We start from the raw sequence: 26,870 nt of genomic DNA on the forward strand, positions 1-26,870 counted from the left end.
ACAATTTTTTTTTTTTTTTTTGGACATAGAGTTTCGCTCTTGTTGCCCAGGCTGGAGTGCAATGGCATGGTCTCAGCTCACTGCAACCTCTGCCTCCCTAGTTCAAGCAATTCTCCTGCCTCAGCCTCCCGAGTAGCTAGGATTACAGGCATGCGCCACCACGCCTGGTTTTGTATTTTTAGTAGAGACAGGGTTTCACCATGTTGGTCAGGTTGGTCTCGAACTCCTGACTTCAGCTGATCCACCCGTCTTGGCCTCCCAAAGTGCTGGGATTACAGGCGTGAGCCACCATGCCCTGCCGATGTGTGTTTTGTTCCGATTAACATCCCTCTCACTGAGTATGACTGTTAGGGAGGAGGGGCTCTTGTCACCACCACATCCTCAGCATCTAGCACATAGTAGGTGCTCAATAAGTGAGTGCTCGTCCAATGAATGACAGCACAGAACACTCCCGGGCACGCGGACTTGCACAACACCTGTGCACACGATCACAGCATCATGTGTGCCCATGTCTGCAAGCACACACGCACCCCCCCAAGCACAGGCCGGCATGCCTGGGAACTGTGGGGTAGACCCAGGCCAAGGGGATAAGGAGGGGTGACGGGGATGCACAAACAGGGTCTCCTACCCCTGAGCCTCACAGTCCATCCCTCCCAGGGTCTCTGCGAGAAGAGCAGAGTTGAAGCCCAGGTGGGAACATTCCCTCTAGATCCAGTGTGGGTGAGAGATGGGAGGCATCAGAGCATGTGGGACCAGTGCCTGTTTGTTTGTTTATTAGAGACAGGATCAGCCAGGACCAGTGGCTCATGCCTGTAATCCCAGCCACTCGGGAGGCTGAGACAGGAGAATTGTTTGAACCCAGGAGGTGGAGGTTGCAGTGAGCCGAGATGGCGCCACTGTACTCCAGCCCGGGCGATAGTGTGAGACTCCGTCTGGAGAAAAAAAAAAAAAAAAGAGACAGGGTCTCCCTCTGCTGACCAGGCTGGACCGCAGTGGTGCCATTTTGGCTCACTGCAACCTCTGCCTCCCAGGTTCAAACGATTCTCCTGCCTCAGCCTCCCGAGTAGCTGGAATTACAGGTGCCTGCCACCACACCAGGCTGTTTCGTATTATTAGTAGAGAAGGGGTTTTGCCCTGTTGGCCAGGCTGGTCTTGAACTCCTGACCTCAGGTGAGCCACCTGCCTCAACCTCCCAAAGTGCTGGGACTACAGGCATGAGCCACCACGCCCAGCCAAGGGACCAGTGCCAATTTAATGTCAGACCTGGGGTTCTCAGCAGAGACTGGTACTCCCGTTTTAGGGGCAGAGAGGTAGTCCAGAGAGAGGTAGCAACTTGCCCCAAGTCACACAGCAATTCCTCTCTGGTTTAAAGCATTGTGGGGTTGTAACCAGGCTATCACAGACATCCTTCCCCACTCTGGCCCCGCTGACACCTCTCATCACCCGGGGGCCAGAATGAAGACGACAGCATATCCAGAGAGAGGCATTTCTAGGCCAGACAGGGCTGAATTGAGTGACAGTAAAGGGTGGGGCTGGGTCAACAGGAGAGGAGACATACTCACAGGAGAAATGACTACGGGCAGGAGAAGGACCCAGGAGGCTTAAGCCCCACCAATGGCAGGAGCCATCAGGGTGAGAGGATTCAGGGACGACCCTCAGGTCCTGTTGCTCAAGCCACCCTCGGGTCTGCCCCCTGGGGCGCACAGTGGTCCGAGTATCCCATTTCCCTGGTGCAAACATCGAGGCTGGGCGCTCCAAGAGGTAATGGGAGAGCGAGGGGCGCATGGGAGGGCCCAGAGGAGGAGACCGTTTTACTACTGATGATAAGGGGCGTGCAGGAGTCACAGCACAGCACGGCCCGCGGGAAGCGCACAGCAGTAGGTGGGTGGCCAGGGGCGCTACTTACATATTCGGCCGTGTCATCCGTCTCCCACTGAGCGCGGGAGGAGGCGGCAGGGGAGAGAGGAGGAAGGTGAGCGGGGGAGGCCAGAGATGGAGAAAGAGAAGCAGAGGTGGGGGGAGCGCAAGGGCCCGTCCCCGCCCGGAGCCCGTCCCCGGCCCCGCCCCGGCCCCCCGCCCACCTGGGCATCGGCCAGCATGACGTCCTTGATGCGCGGCGGCCCGCGGGCCTCGGCGCCCTCCATGCGCACGTAGTGGACCTGGTAGCCGCGGATCTGGCCGTGCTGCCGGCCGGGCGCGGGCGAGCGCCACAGCACGCGGATGGCCGTGGCGTTGAGCGCCTCCGCCTCCACCTTCCGCGGCGGCGCGCTGGGCACTGGCGGGCGGGAGGGGAGGGGAGGGGCGGGCGGAGCCGTTACCAGGGCGCCCGGCCCTGCCCCGGGCAGTGCCACTGTCCGATTCCAGGATGCCGAGTGGCTGCCGGTGAATAACTGGGCGCTCTTAGCGCTCACCACCGGGCGGGAGGACATGGCCTCCTGCACACCCCCCACAGCCCTGGGAGGGGCCCCTGAAGGTGCGCCCCATGGATCCAGGCTGCCCCCCCCCGAGTCTAAACCACCTTCCCAGGGCCTCCAGACACCCTCTTCTTCACCCTACACTGCTTCCATCCTCATCATAACCCTGCAAGATAGGGTCTCCTGTCATTCTCATTTTACATTTGGGGAAATTGAATCCTAGAGAGTTGATTCTGTGATCACAGCCTTAGCAAGAGGCAAAGCCAGGATTTGCACCAGGCAGTCCAGCTGTATGTTCCTAAATACCCAAGCAGGCAGGTGGCCCACTTGGCACTCAGGATCTTTTTCACCCACCCCAGGGTTTGGCATAAAGAAGAGCTGCTTCATTTCTTCTCTGGGCTTAGGACATAATGGGGCTGTCCAACGAAACAAAGGCAAATGGCTCAGAAAACGAATCAGGTTCCCAGGACCAAGAGGCTGAAATATTTTTGAGACAGGTTCTCTTACTCTGTCACCTAGGCTGGCATGCAGTGGCAGGATCACGGCTCACTGCAGCTTTGAACTCCTGGGCTTAAGCGATCCTCCCACCTCAGCCTCCCAAGTAGCTGCAACTACAGGCCTGTGCCACCATGCTCAGCTAATACGTTTTTGTAGAGATGGGGTCTCACTCTGTCACCCAGGCTGGAGTGCAGGGGTATGATCACAGCTCATTGCAGCCTCAAACTGCTATGCCCAGCAATCCCCGCACCTCAGCGTCTTGAGTAGCTGAGACTACATGTGCATGCCACCATGCTTGGCTATGTTTTAAAAATGTTTTTGGAGGAATGGGGTCTCACTATGTTGCCTAGGCTGGTCTCAAACTCCGAGACTCATATGATCCTCCTGCCTTGGCCTCTCAGAGTGCTGGGATTACAGGCATGAGCCACTGTGCTTGGCCAAGAAGTTGCAATTTTATTGGGAAAGGTGTCTGTCATTTCTCTCCATGATCTAGGCTTCGACCACGTGACTCCAAGCTAGGACCACTGCCTTGCTTTCCAGCTTCAAACTTGCTGCTAACTTGAAATGGGTGAGGACGGGAACATTTACACCATGGAAATTGGCCAATGCTACACAAACTGGTCTCCATCCACCCGGGGAGCTGGTTAACCATGATCAGCACATTGTTGTTGCAGGTGCTATTTGCCACTTCCTCCACCCCATTTCCAAAGGTTTCCACTGTTCCACCAAAATAGAGGGCAGCCAGCGAAACTGTCCAGGCACGAGGCTCTGGGAGCAGATGCTGCAGAGCTAAGCCTGCCCATGTCTAGAATCGCCAATTCCAAAGTCAAGGAGCCCCGGATTTCTCGGGGAGGCTGCTTGCTTCCCGACTTCCTCCGAGTGAGGCTTCCGCCCTTTGACCACCAGCCCAGGTTTCCAGATGGAAGGCTTCGAGGCGGGGGCCGGGCTGGGGCCTGCGGGGGGTCCCGGGCCTGGGGCAGGTACTTACCATCCTCGTCGGTGCGGACGACCACGGGCGAGCTCTCGGGCCCTGGTCCCACCTCTGTGTGAGCGACAGTCGTGATGCGGTACTGGGTCCACTTCTCCAAGGCCTCCAGCAGGATCTGAGTGGTGGTCGGGGGGATGCCGTTCACCTCCTTGGGTTCCGGGTCCTCTGAGCCCAGCGGTCGGTAGCGGACGCTGTAGCCCACCAGGGCCCCGTTGTGCGTTTCCGGCGGCGGCGGGCGCCAACTTACCAAAATGGCCGTGGAGCGCACGCTGACACATTTAACGTCTTGAGGGGGGGCTGACGGTTCTATTGGAGGGGGGGAGAACGTGGGGGGGTGGGGAAGGGAGGTGGGATGGGTGGGGAGGGGGGCGGGGAAACAAAAGATGGGAAAGAGAAAATAAAAAAGAAGATGATAACAAACAAAACAGAACCAAACCAAAGAGAAGTCGAACCCAAAAGAAGTGGGTGTCAACCAAAGGTGGGATGGGCGGGTGGATGGGCGGGCAGGTGGGATGGGGCTGGGAGGGCTGGCCAAGAACCCTGTGCTCACCAGGCTGCACCTACGTGGTGCACAGTAGGTCTTAGGCATTGGACAGCTATGGTCCCCATGCCAGAAACTGGGTGGGGGAATAGCAAGGGAAGCCCTTCTTACTAGGCACCTACTATGTGCTTGGCATCGTGCCAAGGGGAATAGCAACAGGAGCTCCATTTATTAGGCACCTACTATGTGCCAGCACCAAGGGCTTCACAAAATAGTAAAAGCATCTATTTGTTGAACATCTACTATGTGCCAGGCACCATGCCAAAGGGAACGGCAACAGAAGCTCCACTTATTAGGTACCTACTATGTGCCAGCACCAAGGGCTTCACAAAATAATAGTAAAATATCTATTTACTGAACACCTACTATGTGCCAGGCACCATGCCAAGGGGAACAGCAATAGAAGCTCCATTTATTAAAGGCTTATTATGTGCCAGGTACTGTGCCAAGGGAAACAGCAACAGAAGCTCCATTTATTAGGCACCTATTATGTGCCAGGCACCATACCAAGGGGAATGGCAGCAGAAGCTCTGTTTATTAGGCACCTCCTATGTGCCAGCAACAAGGGCTTCACAAATAGTAAAGCATCTATTTACTCAACACCTACTATGTACCAGGCACCATGCCAAGGGGAACAGCAATAGAAGCTCCATTTATTAAGCACTTATTATGCGCCAGGTACCGTGCCAAGGGGAACAGCAACAGAAGCTCCATTTATTAGGCACCTACTATGTGCCACCATACCAAGGGGAATGGCAACAGAAGCTCCATTCATTAAGCACCTACTATGTGCCAGGCATCATGCCAAGGGGAATGGCAACAGAAGCCCCATTAGGCACCTACTGTGTGCCAGGCACCATGCCAAGGGGAATAGCCATAGAAGCTCCAATTATTAGGCACCTACTAATAATTGTGGTAAGGCATTGTGCTGAGGACTCCATAGAATGATAGCAAAATAATCTATATGTCAAACACTTACTATGTGCCAGGCACCGTGGCAAGGGGAACAGCAACAGAGCTCTATTAAGCACCTACGATGTGCCAGCGCCAAGGGCTTCACAAAATAACAGTAAAAGCATCCATTTATTGAACACCTAGTATGTGCCTGGCGCCATGCCAAGGGGAGCGGCAACAGAAGCTCCATTTATTAAGCACCTACTATATGCCAGGCACCACGCCAAGGGAAGCAGCAACAAAAGCTCCAATTATTGGGTACCTAGTATGTGCCAGGAACCATGCCAAGGGGAATGGCAACAGAAGCTCCAATTATCAGGCACCTACTACGTGTCAAGCATTGTGCTAAGGCTTCATAGAATGGTAACAAAATAATCTATGTCGAACACCTATGTGCCAGGCACCGTGGCAAGGGGAACAGCAACAGAGCTCTATTAGACACCTACTATGTGCCAGCGCCAAGCACTTCACGAAATAATAGTAAAAGCATCTATTTATTGAACACCTACTATGTGCCAGGTACCATGCCAAGGGGAATGGCAATAGAAGCTCCATTAAGCACCTACTACGTGCCAGGTACCATGCCAAAGGGAACAGCAACAGAAGCTCCATTTATTAACTACCTACTATGTGCCAGGCACTGTGCCAAGGGGAATGGCAACAGAAGCTCCATTAGGCACCTACTATGTGCCAGCACCAAGGGCTTCACAAAATAATAGAGCATCTATTTACTGAATATCTAGTATGTGCCACGCATCATGCTAAGGGGAACAGCAATAGAAGCTCCACTTATCAGGTACCTACTGTGTGTCAAGCATTGTGCCAAGGGCTTCATAGAATAATAGCATAAGAATCTCGGCCGGGCGCAGTGGCTCACTCCTGTAATCCCAGCACTTTGGGAGGCCGAGGTGGGTGGATCACGAGGTCAGGAGTTAGAGAGACCAGCCTAGCCAACATGGTGAAACTCCGTCTCTACTACAAGATACAAAAAACTAGCCGGGCATGGTGGCGGGAGCCTGTAATCCCAGCTACTCGGGAGGCTGAGGCAGGAGAATCACTTGAACCTGGGAGGCGGAAGTTGCAGTGAGCCAAGATCGTGCCACTGTACTCCAGCCTGGGCAACAGGGCAAGACTCCATCTCCAAAAAAAAAAAAAAAAAAAAAAAAAAAAAAATCTATATGTCACACACTATGTGCCAGGCAACAGCAATAGAAGCCCCAATTATTAGCTACCTACCATGTGCCAGGTGTCATGCCAAGGGCTTCATACAATAACAGCAAATGCACTTATTTACTGGCCACCTACTGTAGGTCAGGCATGGTGCCAAGGGCTTCATAATAATTTACGGAAAATATGGTAAAATTTTTCTTGTAGTAAAAGCATTTATTTACTGAACACTTGTGCTACCAGGGACCCAAAGCCCATCCCAAAAGCTTACTTCAACTAGGACCATCCAATTGGCCTCACTTGAAAATAATGCCCATGTCTTGAGCACCTACTGTGTGCCAGATAGAATGTCAAGGGCTTTATCAAGTAATAATAAAAGTGCCTGTTTATTGGACACCTACTGGTGTCAGGTACCAGGCTCAGGACTTCATAGCTCATATTGAGCACCTACTGTGTGCCAAAATCTTTAAAGATCACAGCACTTCTGTGTTCAGTCCCAACTATGCACCTGGCACCACACTACATCTACTACTAACCTATCAACAGCAAGTCTCATTTATTGAACATCTACTATGGACTGGGTACGGTAACAGGTCTCTGAAGAGAAAAACAGCAGTTGTCATTTAAGCAGCACCTACTATGTGCCAGGCACTGTGCCAAAGGCTCTCTCAGAAAACAGTAGTAGTCCCTGCATATTAAACCCCTACTGCGTGCCAGGCACTGTGCTAAGGGCTGTATCAGAAAAGTTAATAGTCCCCATGTATTAGGCCCCTACTGTGTGCCAGGCACTGTGTTAAAGGCTTCATCAGAAAACGATAGTAGTCACCACATATTAAGCACCTATTGTGTGCCAGGTGCTGTGCTGGGGCTTACTGAAAAACAGTAAGTTTCCACATATGAAGCACCTACTATGTGTCAGGCAACTCTACTAAGGGCCTTACGGAATGTTAATAGTTTTCATTTCTTTCTTTCTTTTTTTTTTTTTTTTTGAGACAGTCTTGCTCTGTCGCCCAGGCTGGAGTGCAGTGGCGCGATCTCGGCTCACTGCAAGCTCTGCTGCTCGGGTTCACGCCATTCTCCTGTCTCAGCCTCCCGAGTAGCTGGGACTACAGGCGCCCGCCACCACGCTCGGCTAATTTTTTGTATTTTTAGGGGAGACGGATTTTCACCATGTTGGCCAGGATGGTCTCGATCTCCTGACCTCGTGATCCGCCCACCTCGGCCTCCCAAAGTGCTGGGATTACAGGCATGAGCCGCCGCGCCCGGCCAATAGTTTTCATTTCTTAAGCACCTACTGTGTGCCAAGCATCGTGCTAAGGGCTTTATTGGATAACTGTAACAGCACCTGGCACCGTGTGCCAGGCATTGCACTCAATACCTTATATAAAAATAGTAATAGTTCTTATTGAGCACCTACTATTTGCACACACTGTGCCAAGGGCTTTGCAGATAATAAGTGAATGTTTTCAGTAAAAACTGTGTAACCAGCCCTATCCCACACCCTTTCAAACTGATAATGGTGCCCATCTGAGCATCTACTACGTGCCTCACACTTAGGCCACCTCTTTATAGCAAGTGCCACTTATTGAGCACTTACTGTATGTCAGCCATTGTGCCAAGAGGTTTGCAGAACAATAATTGTTGCCACCCATGTTTTGAGTACCTACTGTGCGCCTGGCACTAGGCTAAGCTTGTTATAAACTGCTAATAGCTTCCATTTACTGAGTGCCAACTAGGTGCCCAGCACTGTGCCAATCCATATGTAGATTTAAAACAGTGGCTGTATTAATGGGGCACCTACTGTGTGCCAGGCAGTATGTTAAGGTCTTTGCTGAATAACACTGAGAGTTCCCGCATATTAAAGGGAACTGTCTGTGTGTTAAAGGCTTATGAATCAGTAAGTCTCTATGTGTTGCGTGCCTACTATGGCCAGACGCTGTGCTGAGGGCATTAGTGATAATAAACTTCATTTTCTGCACGCCTACTGCAGGTGCAGCACCCTCAGCCCATGTTTCATGTATTATCTCATTTAACGCATGTATCATCTCATTTAATGCATGCATTATCTCATTTAATTCTCACAACCCCTCAGGTGGTCAGAACTGTCACTCCCCACCCGCCACCCCGCGTCAACGGTGGGGAAACCAGATTCCAAAGTCTGCCTGCTGGGCTTTCTACAGTCACTGGTTGTGTACCGACTGTGGCCAGACCCCACCCTGGAAGCTTTTCATTATTTTGTATAACACCTCTCAATCTTGCCGAAAAACCAGAAGTGCAGCCCATTTTACAGGTGAGCCCATTTTACAGGTGAGGAAACTGAGGCTCAGAAACAGCAAGCTACCTGTCCAGGGGCATGCAGTGATGAGGTGGCAGAGCCAGGATTGGAACCCAGACTTGGCCGTGATTCACAGGCTGGCTTGGTTTGAGGTTGGCAGCTCAGATCTCAGCCTTGTGCTGGTTGGGTATGGCGGAAGCCACTCTCCCAAGTGCCCACGATTTTAGAATCTACGTCCCCTGGAGGGAGGCCCAGAGAGATTACTGGCCTTGCTCGTGGCAAGAGCATTAGAAACCCTCACCATCAGAGCAGCTTGCTTGGTGGCTGAGCACATGTTTACTGAGTACTTACTATGGACACTATCCTGCTAGCATCTGAAACCCAGAGACGAATCCTGTCCTCAGAGACACTGGGCTACCAGAGACTGCAGAGGCCACCCCAACAGCTTACTTCAACTAGAGAGACCCTCCGGCCTCACTTAAAGCAAAACATTAGAGGCCCCTCCTCCAAAACTAGACAAAGGGAACCCTTCCCCATTTCTTGACCAGCCACACCAACCAAAGGTGCCCGGGGGGTGCGGGGAATCAGGCAGGGAGCAGGGGGAAAAAAAAAAAAAAAACAACAATCAAGGAATGTGTCGGAAGGAATGGATTTGCTGAGAAAGGGGGAGAAAAAATAAAACCGAAACCATAATAAAATAAGAAACAACAGTGATGGTGATGATGATGAGAAAAACTTAATAAAAGAAAGAAAGACTCCTTCCAGAAAACGCCCAGTCTGGTTACCTACCTTCCACTCTTCAACTGCTAACTTAAAAGACTTTCTTACGAGAGAGGGAACGGCCGAGCGCTGAGCTACAAGGCCAGACCGAACTCTTGGTGGGTCTCAGGATGCCAGTGGCCCCGCAGCCCTGCTCCAGCCCCCAGCGTGCGCACGCTGAGGTTCCAGGCTGGAGGCAGGAAGGTGGCACGGTGTCTGGGGAGACCCACGGCTGAGTGGTCTGACCTGCACCTACCCTGTGTTCAGCCTAAGGAGCCCGCAGTCCCCGGGGGGATGGATACGCCTGGCCCTGAGTCTTTGCTGTCGGTTCTCCTGGGCCCCACCCGTCTCGGGGCAAGAAGCGGGGAGTCCCTTCTCCCCAACTCCCTGTCCTGGGCCGCCCCGGAGGTTCGCGTGGCTGGGCCGAAGCCGCTTTCTAGGTGACCGTGTAGGTCACGTCCTTCACAATCCGGCCCAACCTGCATGACATCTCGGGAAGGGATGTGTGCAAAGACGTGGATGTGCGTGCGTGGGCAGCGTGGCATGGTGGTGGCACGTGGTTTGGGAGAGTTTCTGGGGCCGAATTCGGGCCGTGGACTGTCCGTTCAGCCCAGAGTGGCTGGGGCAGGCGGGGGGGCACGCGGGGTGGGCCGTTTTTGTGAACCTGCTTGAGACCAGCGTGTACTCACCTTCAGGACACCTCAGCCAGTCTCTCAGGTGGCTGCCCAAGCCACAGGCCACCCTCACTGACTCCACCTCACACAGACGCGCCCAGACGCCTTGGAGCCGCCAGGTGCTCAGCTCGGCTTGGTTTGTGGGGAGCAGGAAGGAGGGAAGGGGGCCGGCGGGGGCAGGGGGGTTGTGTCTCCGAGGCGCCCCACCCCCCCGATCCCAGCGGCTCAGATGCCCCGGCTGGAGTTGATGTTAACCCTTCGACTGATCCGAGATGCCCCTGTGTACACACACCCAGGGCGGGCCTTGAAGGTTTGACCATCATGACTGATTCTGGAAGAAAGCCTGGGGTGGCTACGCCGTGACTGACTGGGTGAAGGGAGGGAAGAGGGGGAAGCAGGGGGAGGCCACGACAGAGAGACCACGCCGGTGGAGGCCACACCAGGGAAGGCCACGCTGGGCTGAGCGGAGCCAGGGAGGCAGGTGAGGTGGGGAGACGGCAGAAGGGGCCTGTCCAGCTCCGAGTTTAGAGAAGTCAGGGAGAGAGGGTGGCGGTGACCCACAGCCAACTGCCAGGTGAAGGGTGACTCGCTCCAAACAGGGAGGCCGGGCCGGCACAGCAGAGAACTCCAGAGATTTGAGCCCCGAGTGGGGACCTGCATGCCCCCACGAAACCTGGCCTCGGCTCCGATTCCACCCCCTCCCCACCCTCGGGAACTGGGACCTCGTCCTGGGGTCTTGAGAGCCAAGGCTCCCTGCCCGGGGGAGGAAGACCGACGGGGAAGGTGGGTTCGTCTCTGTGTCCTTTGCTCTGAGAATGATGGGGTGCGAGCCGTGACCACAGCCTCACGGTACCCTCAAAATGCCTGGGAAATGGGCACAACGTGGCCCTTCAATCAGCCCCCACTCCAGGATGGAAAGAGGAGAAAGAAGGCGTGGTCCCAGAACCTCTCCTACACCAGGGCCAAGATCAGCCACTTCTCCTTGACCCCAAGTCTCAACCCGGGTCACCAGGCCCAGGGGCACAGACAACCCCATGCTGAGACCCTCGCTGTGCTGATGGGGATACTGAGGCACAGCGCGGGTAGATGGATCCGAGGTCGGGGAACAAAGCGGAGACAGGCCGGGAGGCGCCCCCCACCCACTGCAGCAGGCCCCGCCTGGGTCCGTCTGCCGAGGGGCTGTCTGCGGTCAGGCCGTGGTCCCTCCCGCAGAGAAGGGCGGCCCCGCGAGACACCTACTGGACTGCAGCGTGCGCTGCCGCACCACGGGGGTGAAGGCGCCCAGGCCCTGCGGCGAGCGGGCCGCCAGGCGGAAGGCGTACTCCGTGTTGGGCTTCAGGTCCTCCACCACGTAGGAAGTCGTCGGGTCGAAGGTCCTTCCCACCTGGGGGCAGGGCAGAGAAGGACAGAGAGGGATGGGGGAGAGAGAGAGAGAGACAGAAACAAAGGGGAGAGAGAGAGAGACAGAAACAGAGGGGGGAGGGGGAGAGAGAGAGAGAGAGAGAGAGACAGAGAAATAGAGACAGGGGTGCGGCAGAGAGGGACAGAGAGGGATGAGGGAGAGAGGTAGAGGGGAGAGAGAGGTAGAGACAGAGATACAGACAGAAAAAGAGGGTACGGAGAGAGACAGAGACGGAGAGAGACAGAGACAGAGAGAAACAGGGGAGAGAGTCAGAGACAGAGGGACACAGAGACAGAGATAGAGACAGAGGGACACAGTGACAGAGATAGAGACAGAGAAACAAAGGAGAGAGACAGACACAGAGACAGAGATAAATGGGAGAGACAGAGACAGAGAGAGATACAGAGACAGACAGAAACAGGAGAGAGATACAGAGACAGAGGAATAGAGAAATTGAGAAGGAGACAGATACAGAGATAGACACACAGAGACAGAGAAATAGAGACAGAGACAGAAACACAGAGAAACAGGGGAGAGAGACAGACAGAAACGGAGGAGAGAGAGATTGAGACAGGGACAGAGAAAGAGAGGAGAGAGAGACAGAAATAGAGATAGAGACAGAAATAGAGAGAGAGGAGAAAGAAACAGATACAGAGACAGAGACAGAGAGACAGAAAGAGAGGCAGAGGGATAGAAACACAGAGACAGATGGAGACAGAAAAAAAACACACAGAAAACAGAGACAGAAAGAGAAACAGAGACAGAGACATAAACAGACAGAAACAGACCCGGAGGGATGGAGAGTGAGCGTCAGAGGCACCGGTGAAGACAAGACACAGAGAGAAGCACAGATCAAGAGAGATGGGGACGCCGATACATACGGAACCAGAGAGAGGCCGCCAGCAGCAGAGGAGAAAGACAAAGGAGATGAGACAGAGGAGAAAAAAGTGGAGGAAAGGCACAAAGGGACAGAGACGCAGGAGAAGCAGAAGGGGTGAGGAAGAGCAGAATCCGCAGCACACATAGGGACAAAGAGGGGGAAGAGACAAGGCGGGCAGCGTCAGAGAGCGCCGGGGAGGAGCCCAGGGCAGGCCAGCCCGTCCCCGCGCTGCCTCACCTCCCGGCCATGGTCGCCTTCCCGGAAGAGGAGCTCGTACTTGATGATACTCTCCTGCCGCGGGGGGCTCCAGGACAGCGTGATGCTGGTCTCCGACCTGGCCTCGGCCCGCAGGTTCATGGGCTGGCCCGGCACTGTGGGGGTGCAGGGAGACAACTAGGAGTCGGGGAGCGTCCACCCCACAAAGGGGGCCCCACCTGCTGAGTGTCCCCACTAAAAGATGCCAGCTCTGGGTGCTTCTAGAATGTTCTTTTATTTTCCTGGGGACCTCGCCCCCATCCCATTGTCACCTGTCCACCTCTGTTCCTCCATCCTCTCTTCTTCCAAAGGAAAAGAACCCATTTAAAAATCCCCCTTTCGGCCGGGCACGGTGGCTCACGCCTGTAATCCCAGCACTTTAGGAGGCCGAGGCGGGCAGATCACGAGATCAGGAGATCGAGACCATCCTGGCTAACATGGTGAAACCTCGTCTCTACTAAAAATACAAAAAATTAGCCGGGCGCGGTGGCGGGCACCTGTAGTCCCAGCTACTCGGGAGGCTGAGGCAGGAGAATGGTGCGAACCCGGGAGGCGGAGCTTGCAGTCAGCGGAGATCGCGCCACTGCACTCCAGCCTGGGCAACAGAGTGAGACTCTGTCTCAAAAATAAATAAATAAATAAATAAAAATAAAAAAAATAAAAATCCCCTTCATTTTTTTTTTTTTTTTTTGAGATGGAGTCTCACTCTGTCACCCAGGCTGGAGTGCAATGGCACGATCTCGGCTCACTGCAACCTCCGCCTCCAGGGTTCAAGTGATTCACCTGCCTTAGCCTCCCAAGTAGCTGGGATTACAGGCACCCGCCACCACGCCCGGCTAACTTTTGTATTTTTAGTAGAGACGGGATTTCACCAATTGGCCAGGCTGGTCTCAAACTCCTGACCTCAACTGATCCTCCTGCCTCGGCCTCCCAAAGTGCTGGAATTACAGGCGCGAACCACCACACCTGGCCTAAAAATCTCCCTTTCAAATCACCCCAGTGCCCTCGCTGGCTGCGAATTAGATGACAGAGAAATTAGCAGGGAGATATGTGTGCCTATTTTATTTCATTTTATTTTAGTTTTTGAAACGGGGTCTCACTGTGTCACCTAGGCTGGAGTGTAGTGGCACGATCATAGCTCACTACAGCCTCCAACTTCTGGGCTCAGGTGATCCTCTCGCCTCACCCTCCTAAGTAGCTGGGACCACAGGCACACACCACCACACTCAGCTAATTTTAAAATTTTTTGTACACATGAGGTCTTGCTATGTTGCCCAGGCTGGTCTTGAACTCCTGGCTTCAGGCAAACCTCCTGCCTCAGCCTCCCAAAGTGTCAGGATTACAGGTGTGAGCCACAGTGCCTGGCAAAGGGTGCCTATTTTAACATTTGGATCTCCATTCTGTATCCGCTCACAGACATGGACAGAGTGCCAACCGTCCCGGCCCTTTGCTTCAGTGGGTGCCTGAGTCTGCCCAGACTTTAGGTTTTGAAAGCCTGAGCCCCAAAGGAAAGGGTCAAACACTCCCAGAGAGCTGGGGTCCCCCATGCCTAAATGCCTCTTCCAAGTCCTGCCACCTGAGCAGGGAGGGAGACTGGCCCACTGCCTTAGGGGTGAGGCAGTTTTCTTTTATTTTTGAGACAGAGTTTCGCTCTTGTTGCCCAGACTGGAGTGCAGTGGCACGATCTCAGCTCACCACAACCTCCGCTTCCTGGGTCCAAGTGATTCACCTGCCTCAGCCTCTTGAGTAGCTGGGATTACAGACACACGCTATCATGCCCGGCTAATTTTGTATTTTTGGTAGAGATGGGGTTTCACCATTATTGGCCAGGCTGGTCTTGAACTCCTGACCTCGTGATCCACCTGCCTCAGCCTCCCAACGTGCTGGGATTACAGGCGTGGGCCACCACGCTGAGCCAGCAGTTTTCATTATTTCAGAAGCAGTGGCGCTGGTCCCTCTAATGAGAACAGATGAGGGAGGTTCTTAAAACTCAAATGCCAACAGGGGTGAGGAGTTAACAGAGAAGAGGGAAGGAAGCACACACAGCCCCCCTTGTCTCCCACACAGCCACTGGGATCTACCCGGGTGTTTGATCTTAGCCCTATGGGCTTGTCAAATCAGATTTTTTAAAGGGAAGCCAAAAATTTGGCTAGGATAACTGTCCAATTTTATTTTTTTTGAGCAGGGTCTCGCTCTGTTGCCCAGGCTGGAGGGCAGTGGTGACATTTTGGCTCACCGCCTCCCGAGTTCAAGTGATTCTCCTGCCTCAGCCTCCTGAGTAGCTGGAACTACAGGCGTGTGCCACCACGACTGGCTAATTTTTGTATTTTTTTTTTTTTTTTAGTAGAGATGAGGTTTTGTCATGTTGGCCAGGCTGTTCTCAAACTCCTGACCTCAGGTGATCCACCCGCCTCAGCCTCCTGAAGTGCTGGGATCACAGGCATAAGCCACCACACCCAGCCCTCTCCGATTTTATTTTAATGTTTGTTTTTGTTTTAGAGACAAGGTCTTGCTTTGTTGCCCAGGCTGGAGTGTAGTGGTGCTATCATAGCTCACTGCAGCTTTGAACTCCTGGGCTCCAGTGATCCTCTCATCTCAGCCTTGAGTAGCTGGGACTACAGGTGTGCACCATCACGCCTAGCTAATTTTTAATTTTTTGTGTGTGTAGAGATGGGGTCTAGCTACATTGTCCAGGCTGGCCTCAATAAATCCTCCTATCTTGGCCTCCCAAAGTGCTGAGATTACAGACATGAGCCACTACACTGGGTCCTATATATGTTTCTTAAGAAATGGGGTATTGCTATATTGTCCAGGCTGGACTGAAACTCCTGGGCTTAAGCCATCCTCCTGCGTCTGCCTCTTGAGTAGCTGGGACTACAGGCACATGCCACCAAGCCTGGCTAGCTCTCTTTTTTTTTTTTTTTAATTTAATTTTTTTGAGATGGCGTTTCACTTGTCGCCCAGGCTGGATGCAATGGTGCGATCTTGGCTCATTGCAAACTCTGCCCAGGTTCAAGTGATTCTCCTGCCTCAGCCTCCAGAGTAGCTGGGATTACAGGCACCCGCCACCACGGCCGGCTATTTTTCTTTTGTATTATTAACAGAAATGGGGTTTCACGGTGTTGGCCAGGCTGGTCTCAAACTCCTGACCTCAGGTAATCCACTCGCCTCCGACTCCCAAAATGCTGGGGTTACAGGTGTGAGCCACCGCCTCCGGCCTAGCTCCCCGATTTTAAATGCTAGCATGAAAATATATACATATATTTTTTAATTGTTTTTTTGAGGTGGAGTCTCACTCTCTCGCCCAGGCTGGAGTGCAGTGGCATGATCTCAGCTCACTGCAACCTCCACCTCCTGGGTTCAAGTGATTCTCCTGCCTCAGCCTCCCGAGTAGCTAGGATTACAAGCACAGGCCACCACGCCCGGCTAATTTTTAGTAGAGATGGGGTTTCACCATGTTGGCCATGCTGGTCTCGAACTCCTGACCTCCGGTGACCCGCCCGCCTTGGCCTCCCAAAGTACTGAGATTACAGGCGTAAACCACCACACCCGGCCTAAATGCTAGCATGAAAATATCTTAAAGCACCGTGCATAACCCACAAACCGCTCTGCGGCTTCCAGGGAGCATGCAAAGAACCAAGCCGCACGGCCGGGGCCCCGAGTCCTGCCGACCCCACGCCTCACCTCCCTGCTGCGTCTTGACCTGGATGGGGTCCGAGAGGGGCCCGTCGCCGACGGAGGTGAAGGCGAGCACCCGCACGGTGTAGGTCTCGTCCTCCAGCAGGCTGCCCACGGTGGTCAGCAGGCTGTCGTCCACGTTGTGCTTCTGCCAGTTGCCCACGGGGTGCTCCGGTTCCATGGTGTAGTAGACGCGGTAGCCGCGGATCAGGCCGTTGGGCTCCACCGGCTCCTCCCACTGCACAATCATGGTGGTCGCGCTGAGCATCCGGGCTTGCACGTTCCGCGGCGCGCTGGCCGGGGCCTGCTCGCCTGTGCGGGTGACCACGGACTCGCTGGGGGGCCCCTGGCCGATGGAGTTGACGGCCGACACCCAGATCTCGTACTCCGAGTTGGGGCTCAGGCCGCCGATGCTGTAACGTGTGGTGGTGATGTCCTCTTTAATCTGATACGGCCCGTCTTGGCTCTTGGATTTATATTCGATGACGTAATAGGACACAGGATCTGGGTTGCCCGAGTCCCACGTGATGGTGATGCTGGTGGCTGTGTTCTCAGTCACCATGGGAGTCCCGGGAGCTTTGGGGAGAGCTGTGGGCAGGAGGCAGCTGTGTCACGCATTGGGCACATTGGTTGAGGACCCTGAAGGCTGTGTGACTTTTCACCATTCAGTCGCCTTCTCTGAGCCTTGATTTGCCCAGCAGTAATCATGGGCCTCATGACTCCTGTCATCGTCTACAGCAAGGGGTAACAAACTATGGCCCAGGGTCCACCCAGTACCCATTTTCTTTTTTTAATTTTTCTTTGAGATGGAGTCTCACTCTGTCACCCACAGTGGCACGATCTCGGCTCACTGCAAGCTCCGTCTCCCGGGTTCACACAATTCTCCTGCCTCAGCCTCCCGAGTAGCTGGGACGACAGGCGCCTGCCACCACACTCAGCTAATTTTTTGTATTTTCAGTTGAGACGGGTTTCACTGTGTTAGCCAGGATGGTCTCGATCTCCTGACCTCGTGATCCGCCCGCCTCGGCCTCCCGAAGTGCTGGGATTACAGGTGTGAGCCACCGCACCCGGCCTTTTTTTTCTTTTTTCTTTTTTTTTTTTTTTAGACGGAGCCTTGCTCTGTCACCCAGGCTGGAGTGCAATGGCTCGATCTTGGCTCACTGCAACCTCCACCTCCCGGGTTCAAGTGATTCTCCTGCCTCAGCCTCCCGAGTAGCTGGGATTACAGATGTGCGCCACCACGCCCAGCTAATTTTTTTTTTTTTTTGTATTTTCAGTAGAGACAGGGTTTCACCATGTTGGCCAGGCTGGTCTCAAACTCCTGACCTCAGGTGATCTGCCCGCCTAGGCCTCCCAAAGTGCTGGGATTACAGGCGTGAGCCACCGCGCCTGGCCCATTTTATTTATTTTTAAAGACAGGGTCCGGCTCTGTTGCCCAGGCTGGACTGCAGTAGTGCGATCATAGCTCACTGCAGCCTTGAACTCCTGGGCTCAAGCAGTCCTCCTGCCTCAGCCTCCTGAGTAGCTGGGACTAAAGGCATGCACCACTGCACTTGGCTAAATGTTTCATTTTTTTGTGGTAGAGAAGGGGCCTGGCTATGTTGCCCAGGCTGGTCTCAAAGTCCTGGGCTCAAGCAAACCTCCTGCCTTGGCCTCCCAAAGTGCTGGGATTACAGGCGTGAATCACTGCGCCCAGCCAGGATCATTTATAACCAATAAATAATACCTGTTCAAAGAACAACCGTCCCCTTCCTAGCCATGAATGACTGAAGCCAAGAGGGTAACTCGGAGGTGCTCCCACGCTGCCTCCCACCTGTGCCTGAAGTCGGGGATCGACTCCAGCCTGCCCCTCCACCTACGAGCCCCATGGGCCCTGCTCACATTTCACCGTGATCTGAGCAACCGCCTCAATGACGCCCAGGCTGGACATGGCCACGCAGGTGTAGTTGGCCGAGTCCTTGACATCTGTGAGTTCCAGCACGTTCCGACCCACGGGCATGTCATCCTCGGGGGTCAGGTCCTCGGCCCCCTGCATCCACTTCACGTATGGCATGGGCGAGCCCACGGCCACGCAGGTGATGTTCACGTTGCCCCCTGGCATGATCTCGTGGCTCATGGGCAGGATGGAGAAGCGCGGGGCCACGCGGCGGACTGGGGAGGGGGCGGCAGTGGCGGCGGGAGGGAGATGCGAGGGGTGAGGTGGGGTGAGGTTGGGAGGGGAAGACAGGATGCGGAGGAGAAAAAGAAAAGCAGGAAGGAAGAAAGAAAGAAGGAAAGAAAGAAAAAAAGAAAAAAAAAGGAAAACCATTTAAATATAAACAGGGCTGGTTCTTTTCCCTCTGTTGATTTTTTTCCCCCAAATGAAAAGAAAACAAAAGAACCAAATTAAAAAACCAAATTCCAACACAAAGAAACCAAAACTTCAAAGGAAGGTACTTCACAAACAATATATAGAGAGATATATCAATATATAATAGACATGAAGCATTATCTCATAGCAACAGGGTTTCATAGACCAGGGTGGCTGGTCACAGCACAGATACGAACACAAAAATTTATCAGCGGTTTCTCATCTTTGCAGACAGCAGTGGCTTCAGGGAGCAGGTGGCCTCCGATCACTCCCGAATGGGGGCATCCCCTTCGGGGAGCGCTGGAAGATTCTGGCTGCCAAGTTTCGGGATGTGAGTGGGTTAGGAGAGGGGGCAACTTCCAACCCTCCCTGGTTCTCTGGGGATGTGGCGGTCATAGGACACTTGTTGAGGCCAGGAGACAGAGGGAGCCTGAGATGTCAGTCCCCCACTCCCCAGTGACCTGGGGCCCTGCCCACTTACCCGCCCCCTCCGACCGGGCCCTCCAGGAAAAGATGAGAAACTCTAATGAAATTTTTGTGGTTTTTGGGTATAGAAACCCTTCTAAAAGCTTCTGTCAGATCTGACAAGTTTCCATCAATAGATGCAGCTCTGAGTCACAAACATCATGCAAAATAGATTGAGAGAGAGAGAGAGAGAGAAAGAGAGAGCGAGCGAGAGACAGAGAGAGAAAGGAGGGAGGAACTGCAGGGGGAAGATCTGGATTTTGGGGATCTCTAGTGCACACTTACGTGACACCAGAGAGAGGAGACGAATGAATGGGGAGAAAGAGAGAAGAATAGAAAATAGGGACAGAGAGCGGGAGGGGCAGAGAAAGAAAGAAAGAAGGGGGGGCCCACTTCAATGCTGCATATTAATTCTAGCAGATGTGATCCAATGTGACATGCCACATTGTCACATCACAGCCCTGGCAGAATAATAAATAGTATATTAATAATAATAATAATAATAATAATTAATAATAATAAACAAGGGAATGAACTTGAACGTTGAGAGAACAGGGACATGTTCTGTGCGTTTCTTAGCGGGGAAGTGGATGCAACCTTCTCTCAAAGACCATGAAGGCAGCAGGATGCATTTCGGGGGCTCCGTTTTCGGAAGTCAGATGGGTTCCAGGACAGGGGGAAGGGGAGGAGGCCAGTGGGCACCTGAACTTGCAAAGAGCACTGCTGGCCCACGGGGGCTGTTTAACTGCTGTGGGAAGGACTCGGGTGAACCTAATAAATCCTTCTAGCAGGAAAAGGGGTTGTCCCTGGGTGACAGTCTCAGGTCCTAAAGAAGACACATGGGTGCGTCCCCAGCTTTGGATGGGTGAAGGAGTCTTGTTTCAACTGCACAGATGACGGACTGGAGGCTCAGTTAGGATCCCCATCAACACCTGCCTCTGATTTTCATACGGGATTGGGAGGTGCAGCCTCAGGGGGTGGTCTCAGGGGGTCTGGTCTACGATGCTGAGGAGGAGGTTCAAGGGGATAAAGGGAGGTGGCCCCAACTCCCTCCCTTCCAGCCTCGGTTCCTAGCTGGAAATCCCAACCCCTGCCTTCCTGAATCCGGGCGGGAGGCAAAGAGAAGGGGGGACGTCGGCAGGCGTGGGAGTGGGGTCCGGAAGCTGGCAGCCCTTCGGAAAAAGAAGCCCCACGAAAAGTCCAGAAGTCGCACTGGAGACAGGATGGAGGGAGTGGAGGGTACTGCTCCAGGGGAGGAGTCGGGGCATGGGGAGACAGAAGGGCCATGCACACAGAGTGGAGGTGAGGGGCGAGGTGCCGTGAGATGGGGGGGGCGGGTGGCTTTCTGGTAGGGCTGGGTGGAGGGTGGGGGTGTGGGGGGAGAATGGGGTCCGGCCAGCCAGCGGACGCGGTCCAGGCCAGCCGCCGGCACCCACAGCGAGGCACAGGTAAGATGCCAAGGCTGAGTTGTCATGGAAACAGAACACAATGGGGAAATGAGCGTGGGGGGAGCTAATTATTCAAGGACAGAAAAACGGTATCGACGTCCAAAACAAAACCAGGAAGAACAAATGAAATAACAAAGCAAAAGCAATTTAAAAAAAGAAAGAGAGAATCTAAAAAACAAACAAACGAAAAAACTCCCTCCAAAACAAAACACAACACCCAAAAGCAAGAAGAAAAAAAAAAAAATCATGGAATGGGTGTGGGGCTGAAAATCGGGGTCTGAAAGGAGGAGGACTGTGGCTTCCCCAGGGAGACGCCCTCCCCCTGGCAGAACACAGGATCCGGCCTCCCCATCCAGCACCCAAGAGTCTTGGCCACGGGTTTGGGGCGGCCACAGGGGTGGGAGCCTCGTGGACAAAAATCCTTCGGAACAAACCAACCCAGCCCGACTCAAGTCTCTCTCTCTAAAGCCCCTCTCAGTCCACTTCTCGACACCCTGCCTCTCTTAGGGCTGAGCAAGTTGGAGGTCCCAAAGCTGAAATCACAAAGCAAGGTGAACTCCTCAAGGTCTCTGAATCCCATAGTAAACCTCTCCAGGCAGACGTGGAGGAGCTGATGTGGCTGAATGAGCCCAGTGGCCTTGGGAAGGTCCCCCATCCTCCTGGAGCCTCAGTTTCCTCATCTGTAAAATGGAGGGAATTGGGTATCCTGCCGAGAAAGGCATTAACCTGACTCGGGCAGTGCCTGGCACAGCAGGTGCTAAACTCAGGCATGGAGCTGGTGAAGTTACCTTTCAGCCTCCCAGGGGCTGGGACGATCAAACAGCTTCTCTACCTTAAGGGAGTTCAGGGATGAATTATAAAAAGGAAATGGAGGCAGGCGCAGTGGCTCATGCCTGTGATCCCAGCACTTTGGGAGGCTGTGGCAGGTGGATCACCTGAGATCAAGAGTTGGAGACCAGCCTGGCCAACATGGCAAAATCCCATCTCTACTAAAAATACAAAAATTAGCCAGGCGTGGCGGCGGGCGCCTGTAATCCCAGTTACTCTGGAGGCTGAGGCAGGAGAACTGCCGGAACCCGGGAGGCAGAGGTTGCAGTGAACTGAGATCGTGCCACCGCACTCCAGCCTGGGTGACAGAGCGAGACTCCATCTCCAAATAAATAAATAAATAAACAAACAAACAAACAAACGAAATGGAAACAGTAAGAATTTCTACTGAATTCCCATCTTATTTCTTCCTTCTAACAATTTTGAGAGGCAAACGTCCTTATGCTCATTTTGCAGATGAGGGAACAGAGACTCAGAGAGGTGACAAGACTAGATGGAACTCACAGAAAGGAAGTAGTGTAGCCAGAGCTCAAAGCCAGGCCAGCCTGGTTGCTGCCTCTCAGAGAAAACAAGGCTTTTCTCACCATAGTGAGTAACGAGGATTACGGCCAAGTATCAATCCTTGGCATCTAGCTCTTTCAAACTTGTGTGTCCTGACCCACTGGGGACACCAAAGAGGAAAAAAGTACCCATCACCTATACCAAACTCCATGTAATGGCCAGTTGCCACTGGTTGAATAATATCCAGTAGCCATCATAATAAATGTCCAGAAGCCATCAGTAAAAGGCTTATACTCAAAGGAATTGTTGGAACGTCAAAGGGAGTAAGATCTAGCTTTAGGATCTAAAGGTTAAGTGCCAGGCCAATTTATCTATTCTGTAAGGGTCAACATCTTATCCAAAAGACCCTGTTCCTGTTTGATCTTATCTTAAAATATCTCTCCATAGGGATGTCATAATTTGCAAGGTACCTTTAACTTTTTTTAGAAGTAGAGACAAGGGGATACCTGTTGAATATGTAAAAGACTTGCAGTACAGGGTTAACTATAAATCAGTTTAATGTGGGAGGGCATTTATCAACAGCAGTAATTTTAGGGTTCACAATCCCCAACATGGCCGGCAACCATCAGTTAAATGGACCTGCCAATAAATTATAATGGCTCCTCTGACACCTAAGAAACTTGCCCACTTGCTTTCTCACCCGCCTCATTTGTTTCAAAGGGTGTGCTCTAGGAAGAGGGCTGGTTTGCCACGAGTTTAAGGGAGGATCATGCCCATTGGCACTAGGTGGTTCAGATCTCCCCCTCCCTGGCGGCCTTGTAAGGCCTCTGGGCATCCTCCCAGCTGGCAAGGGCGGGTGACTGACGCTGTGTTCTGCCCGGTTTGGTGCTGGCACCCACCCATGTCATCTTTCCACCCCCGGCTGCAAGCTTGAGGTGCAGGTTAGAAAGTAAGGTGGGCACGGTGCCCACGGGACGGAGAGGCCCCGCGGGACCCCCGCCCCCAATTACCGACCTGAATGGAGGGTCCAGGCAGGTTATAAGGGGACCACACCAGCCTTGGTCCTCAGCACGCTCCAGCTGGCTCTGGTTTCCAGCTCTTCTCGTCACCGAGTAGCCGGGGGGTCCCAGCGGGGGGACCCGCTTGGGCGAGGGGGTCGGGAGGGTGGGCGGTGGGGTGGGGGGGTGGCAGGTTGTGGGGGGTGGTCGCTTCAAACCCCGATTCACATGGAAAAACAACTCAAAAACCGTCAAAGCAACCAGGAGACGACCCCTCCCCCAGGCAGGAAGAGGCAGAAACACAAAAACCAAAAAAGGGGGTTGGGAGTGGGGGCGAGGGTAAAGGGGAGGAAGGAAACTCAAAAGTGAGGTGATCTGGTTGAAGCACTAGGTAGGGAACCCCGACAGTGTCAGACATCTCAACGATTCAGCAAGCCGCAGCTCCAAGGGGTGCGGGGGCGGCGGGGGGGGGGGGGGGGGCTCTGCTGGGCATTTTGGGGTGGGAGAAGATTCTAGATACTTCTCCAAACTCCAAAATGAATATGCGGATGGAGAGGGCAGGGGAGAGATGCCAAGAAATTGTGCAGCCTCCGGGGGGTTTATTTAAGCTTAGATTACACCTGTCGGGGGGGAAGGGAGGGGTTGGAAACATTCCTAATTCCATAGCCCACTTCTTGTCCTCTCCTTTGAACTCCAGCCTGTAGCCCAAGGAGGGTGGGCACCGCCCCTCAGCCCACCTGCGTATTTTCTGCTACCCTTCTCCATCATTTTGCTGTGCCTCCTTCCCTCCCTCCCGCCTCTCCCCCCCACCGCCAGCTCCCTCCGCCACTGAGGTAGCGTGCAAGGCCCGGAGGGACCTGGCTGGCTCCCTGGCCCACGGGCTGACCAGCGGCCTTGGCAAGTCATTGGTATTTTGAGCTGGACCTTTGGATGCGCTCTAGATACTTTTTTTTTTTTTTTTGGTACCCGCTCTCTCTTTCTCTCATTTCTTTTTGTTTTTCCCCCAGTTCTGGCCAATCCATGGACTTCCCTCACCACCCCCCCAACCTCGCTGTGGCCGCCGGAGACACGGGGCTTTCCAAATGACAAGGTGTAATCTAATATTCCCCTCACAAACCCCCTCCCCCAACAGAGGAAACAGCGAATGCAGAGGGTGTGAGGCAGGCAGCAGGCGAGAGGTGTTCAGAGCTCAGTGTTCCTGCAGAGTGACCCCCTCCTCGCCGCCCACCCTGGCCAAATGGAGGGACGCCTGCCTTCCCGCCCCTGGAGTCCCCTCTCCCCGATGTGATGAGGGTGGGATGAGAAGGTCTGGGTCTGATCTAACACTGCCTGCCCCTAGGGTTAAGCCAGCGGCCTTAGGTAGGGAGGCGTGGCCAGGTATAGTAAGCACAAACTAGGGAGCTGGCCAACACACCTCAACGCGAGGCTTTCTGGGAATACAGGAGGTGAGGGGTGTTCCAGCCCACCATCTATGTCTGTCCCTGTTTTGGGGGGCCAAGAGGTAAGGGGAACACCTGGGGTCACATCCATCAATTTTAGGGCTTGGGTATTGGAAATTTAATTTAAAAAACAATTTTTCCCCATAAATTTGCATAGATGGATTGATCTGAAAAGGCCTGGGGACAGGTCACAAATACTGAAAAAGAAGACCTGGGAATCGGGCAATCTAGGCCTTGCTGGTGTCACGCAGCAGGTACTGGTTTCTTAGCTTAGCACTCAAGACTCTGCGTTAAATTATGCCAGTCCCATCGGCCTCTTCCAAAACCTTGAAGATATCCTCAGACCCTTCAAGGTAGAACATTGCTCAACCGGCAGGGCACGGTGGCTCACTCCTGCAATCCCAGCACTTTGGGAGGCTGAGGTGGGTGAATCACCTGAGGTCAGGAGTTTGAGACCAGCCTGGCCAACATGGTGAAACCCTGTCTCTACCAGAAATACAAAAATTATCTGAGCGTGGTGCCAGGTGCCTGTAATCCCAGCTACTCAGGGGACTGAGGCAGGAGAATCACTTGAACCCAGGAGGCGGAGGTTGCAGTGAGCCGAGATTGCGCCACTGTACTTCAGCCTGGGCAACACAGTGAGATTCTGTCAAAAAAAAAAAAAAAAAAAAAAAGGCCGAGTGTGGTGGCTCACACCTGTAATCCCAGCACTTTTGGAGGCCGAGGCAGGTAGATTACCTGAGGTCAGGAGACCAGCCTGGCCAACATGGCAAAACCCTGTCTCTAATAAAAATACAAAAATTAGCCAGGCGTGGTGGAGGGCAACTGTAATCCCAGCTACTTGGGAGGCTGAGACAGGAGAATCATTGAACCCAGGAGGAGGAGGTTGCAGTGAGCCGAGATCACGTCAATGCACTCCAGCCTGAGTGACAAGAGTGAAACTCCATCTCAAAAAAAAAAAAAAAAAAAAAAAGTAAAAGAAAAAGAAAATTCCTCCTGATGTCTCCAGCTTTTTCCAAGTTCCCCTGGCATCAGAGGGTGGCAAACCATTTACATGGGTCCTGTGCACTACGTTTCAATAATGCTATGTTGCAAGACCAGGCAGTAAAGACACTACCTTTAGCCACTAACTCATACTCTAAAGGCTTAGAGTTTTAAAGAACCAGAAAAGAACATTCATAGTCAGGGAGAATATAATCTGATCATCTTCCCACCTTGTCAAAAGTCGGAGGAGGGAGAATTCAACTACAGCTGGGAGTGGAGCTGCCAGCTGTATTTTTAAAAATGGACACATTTTGACTTAAGCCCTTTGGATCCCAGAGATAAATTTCAGGAGGAGAAGGGCAAGCCTGAATATTTTACCCCCTGTACCACCCAGAGTCAGCCAAAGCTGGAGATCTGTCAGTTTAGAAAATAAATAAGAGTGAGATTAGGGGTTGCATTTTTTCCCCTTTTTGCAATTAATTCCTGTGACTGGCTGCTCTGGCAACAATGTAAATACTTGTAGCTTTCAGAACATGCCAGGTAGCCCATCTCTTCTGGTGGGCTGGTACTTATCTGCAAGGGTAGCCTTGTACTTAATATGGGCCTTTGTTGTCCCTTTCTGTGGCCACAGAACTTCCTAGGAAATGACAGTGGGGAAAATGAGAGCTATGGCTCTGGGTAGTCCGCTGATCTCATGGGGATGGGGCTGGAGCCAGGAGAAAATGAGATCATGAGATGAGCTCAGGAAAGCACTAGCGAAAAATGAGGTCTGAGCAAATGAATTAGCTTCTGCCCTACAATTATTTTTAAAAGTTTCCCATATGCCATCTTATTCAAACAGTGGACATGTGAAGTACATAACAGGGAAACTAAGACCCACAAAGAAGGGAAGTGACTTGCCCAGATCATTTGCTTGAATCCTTTATTTACAACAATCCTACTGGGAATGCTTGTTACACAGAGCACTTAGTTCAATGAAATCCTTTCACCTACCCTGTGATCAAGGTTCATTTATGATCTCTACTGTTCAGATGAGGAAGTGGGGACTCCAAGTGGTCAAATGACTAGTTCAAGGTCACGTAGCCAGGGAGGGGCACAGACAAAACTGGAATCCAGGTCTGCCAGAGTCCAGAGCCTATGCTCTCATCACTTTCTGGGCTGTACTGCCCAGAAAGTCCAAGTGGTCTTCAGAGACCCTCTGTTCACTCAGTTCCAATGCACCAGCACCTAGCTTTGGTGGAGGGGCTGGGAGACCCCTTTCTGCCATCTTTTGGCACTGCTCTGAGGGTCAGCCTGGCAGCTCGCATGCTGGGTTAATAAGCAAATCTTACTGCATCTAAAGTCCTCTTGCCAACTTGGTCCAGGATTTAAT

General features: G+C 53.0%; 1 protein-coding gene across 35 annotated transcripts in view, besides 1 other annotated feature; it reads right to left on the reverse strand.

Annotated features, from left to right (window-relative positions):
- Nucleotides 1-26,870, reverse strand: part of PTPRS (protein tyrosine phosphatase receptor type S) — a 135,305-nt gene that overhangs the window by 21,902 nt on the left and 86,533 nt on the right. For 12 of the 35 annotated variants that reach the window (NM_001394012.1, XM_047439155.1, XM_017027066.2 and 9 more), the window contains 7 exons: nt 18,367-18,636; nt 16,492-17,073; nt 12,790-12,923; nt 11,510-11,654; nt 3,901-4,206; nt 2,082-2,275; nt 1,907-1,933 (listed from right to left, as the gene is read on the reverse strand). In NM_001394012.1, the coding sequence (NP_001380941.1) occupies nt 1,907-1,933; nt 2,082-2,275; nt 3,901-4,206; nt 11,510-11,654; nt 12,790-12,923; nt 16,492-17,073; nt 18,367-18,636 (1,658 nt within the window). Of the gene's footprint in view, nt 1-1,906; nt 1,934-2,081; nt 2,276-3,900; nt 4,207-11,509; nt 11,655-12,789; nt 12,924-16,491; nt 17,074-18,366; nt 18,637-23,091; nt 23,188-26,870 lie in introns of those variants that run through there. The other 23 variants (NM_001394013.1, XM_047439161.1, NM_130854.3 and 20 more) reach the window with 5 other exon arrangements.
- Nucleotides 20,313-20,504: a silencer, noted in NCBI's record as "fragment chr19:5247733-5247924 (GRCh37/hg19 assembly coordinates)". NCBI's record gives its function as "represses an EF-1alpha promoter that drives an FKBP-Casp9 reporter gene in an ReSE screen in K562 erythroleukemia cells {active_cell/tissue: K562}" and the evidence as "EXISTENCE:reporter gene assay evidence [ECO:0000049][PMID:32094911]".

This window comes from Homo sapiens, chromosome 19, assembly GCF_000001405.40.
Source record: "Homo sapiens chromosome 19, GRCh38.p14 Primary Assembly".
In the NCBI taxonomy this organism is placed as follows: domain Eukaryota; kingdom Metazoa; phylum Chordata; class Mammalia; order Primates; family Hominidae; genus Homo; species Homo sapiens.